The sequence below is a fragment of the Homo sapiens genome, chromosome 5 (assembly GCF_000001405.40).
Source record: "Homo sapiens chromosome 5, GRCh38.p14 Primary Assembly".
In the NCBI taxonomy this organism is placed as follows: Eukaryota; Metazoa; Chordata; class Mammalia; order Primates; family Hominidae; genus Homo; species Homo sapiens.
The window spans coordinates 117188066-117190171 of record NC_000005.10 but is presented as its reverse complement, the minus strand read 5'-3'; the positions used below and the strand labels follow the sequence as shown (position 1 = coordinate 117190171).

General features: G+C 39.2%; 1 annotated feature.

Annotated features, from left to right (window-relative positions):
- Positions 440-941: an enhancer, noted in NCBI's record as "NANOG hESC enhancer chr5:116524927-116525428 (GRCh37/hg19 assembly coordinates)". NCBI's record gives its function as "activates a minimal SCP1, AML or CMV promoter by ChIP-STARR-seq in primed H9 embryonic stem cells {active_cell/tissue: H9 hESC(primed)}" and the evidence as "EXISTENCE:reporter gene assay evidence [ECO:0000049][PMID:30033119]".

The window sequence follows — 2106 nt, the reverse complement described above, 5'->3', positions numbered from 1 at the left end:
CAGTACTTTGTGATTAATAGAAGATTTTATATTCTTAGATACACGCAATAATAAGTCAGAGTCAGAGCAGCATTTATAGGATGGGGAATAGAAGGAAAATTGTTTATCTAACAGATCATGGTCTTGAAAAGCTTTTATTGTCTTGGCAGGCTTGATTCCATCGCCTTCTCCTCCTGAGCCAGAGAAAGGAGCTGTCCAAACTGAAGATGTGAAGGCTAAAAAGTACTTACAACCTAGGTCCACTGTTTCTGCAGTGCTATTTGTGACAATCTGGCATTCTAGAAATGACTTTTCAACAATAAGAAAGATGTTATCCACAGATTCGAACCTTCTCTCAAAGCCAGCTTTGTTTCTCTTGTGTGCTGAGCAACGTTGGCCAAGCAAGTCTAGGCTCACCCACTGTTTGCTCCACCTCTAGCCCATCTCCATGCCTGATTGCCCCCAAAATAAATCCTTTTCCTCCAACATACAGCTCCAAAAAGACTGAAAGCCATTTTTTTTTTTTTTTTTTTACTACTCCTTAAGTGGTATTTATTTTTCTCTACTTGTCCAGTTGAATTGCTGTAATATGCCCCAGAGGGCACTGTTTCTGTCAAGCTCAGAGAAGCAGCACCAGGAGCACTGTGAGGTGCATCAGTTCTGATGCAGGCGGGTAAGTTCAGGAGCCTGGAGACTTCCAGAGACCTGCAATCCAAAGGAGAGAGCTGAGCACATGTGGAGGGCAATTCTGTTCAAAGGAGCTAAAAAGCTTGAATTAATGGTAGAGGAACCACAGGAGGTGATTGAAAGGCAAAGGTGGCTGTACCACAGAGGGGAAGATTCCTCAGCACCCAACACATTGCTCCTGCTTGGAAGTGAGGAATGTTGTGAGGACATTCCATGACTTACCCTTCCAATAACATGGATATAAACTAAACATTTTTTTCAATAACACTAGAGGAAACCTAAAGAGTAGACTTTTGTTCTGGCTCTTAAAGTACTTGTTCTCATTCTTTTCCAGGTAATCCAAATTATGTACTTATACACTATCAAATATCTGTGTGCTGTTTTCCTCTCCAGGCATGCCTTGTGATTGGGCTAATTATGAACATATACTGACATCCATTTAGAAGAAGTAAAATTACTTTCATCCCCAACACAGAAACATCTTTGCCGACAAGAAACCAAAATAATAACAATAATAATAATGGTAATAAGAAGAAGAAGAAGAAAAAGAAGAAGAAGAAGAAATAAAAAGCTTGAGTTCTCCCTGACTTGCAAGGACAAACAGTACAGAGTGAGGCTGAGCAACTCTGTGTAGAGAGAACCTCCTATAATCAGAGCCAGAAACTCTCCAATGGGAGAATTCAGCACTAGTTTAAAAAAAAAAAAAAAGTTAAAAAAGAGAAAAAAAGAAAAAGAAAAGGTGTAATTACAGGCAGGGGGAAATGTGGACTAAAATACTGCCAAGAGAAGCCTCAAGACTGGTATTCTTTAGGACCTTTCAAGTTGTTCCTTAGCTTTAAGCTGCATGGATCTGTCAAGAGTAGAATGGGGATTTGGCACTTTAGGTGAACAAAATGTCATATACTTTCACATCTGTGTCATTACATGAATAAACTCAGCAGATGGATCCAACTGTCTCTGCAGATACAGCATTTTATGCTTGTCCACACAGGTCTCACTAGCTCAACCCACACTCAGCAGGTTCAAATCTGTGGCATGATAATCAATGTCATGCCAAAATTGTGCTATAGAACTTGTGTTGTATTCTCTCCTTACATTTAATGCCTTCAGATCTCAGCACGTCTGTGAGAGTTTGCATGACTCATGTAAATGTTCTTTCTGATCCCTTAAAGCAAATAGAAGTTTTGAAGGGATGAAATTCTACTAATCTGTACTTCCTCTCTGTAAACTCACTGGCAGGCATTTCATCACTGTATGGATCCTTCCCCAAAAAGAAAGTATTTTCTAACCAAGCACAGCTCTTTAAATGACCATGAAGCAGTCTTTTATTCTGAAATGGAACCAAAATAAACACCTTACTTATTGTTTGCATATTAACATTTCAGACTATTGGTCTTAGCCATCTGCCATAATTGGATGCTAAGCTTTTTCCATTAAAAT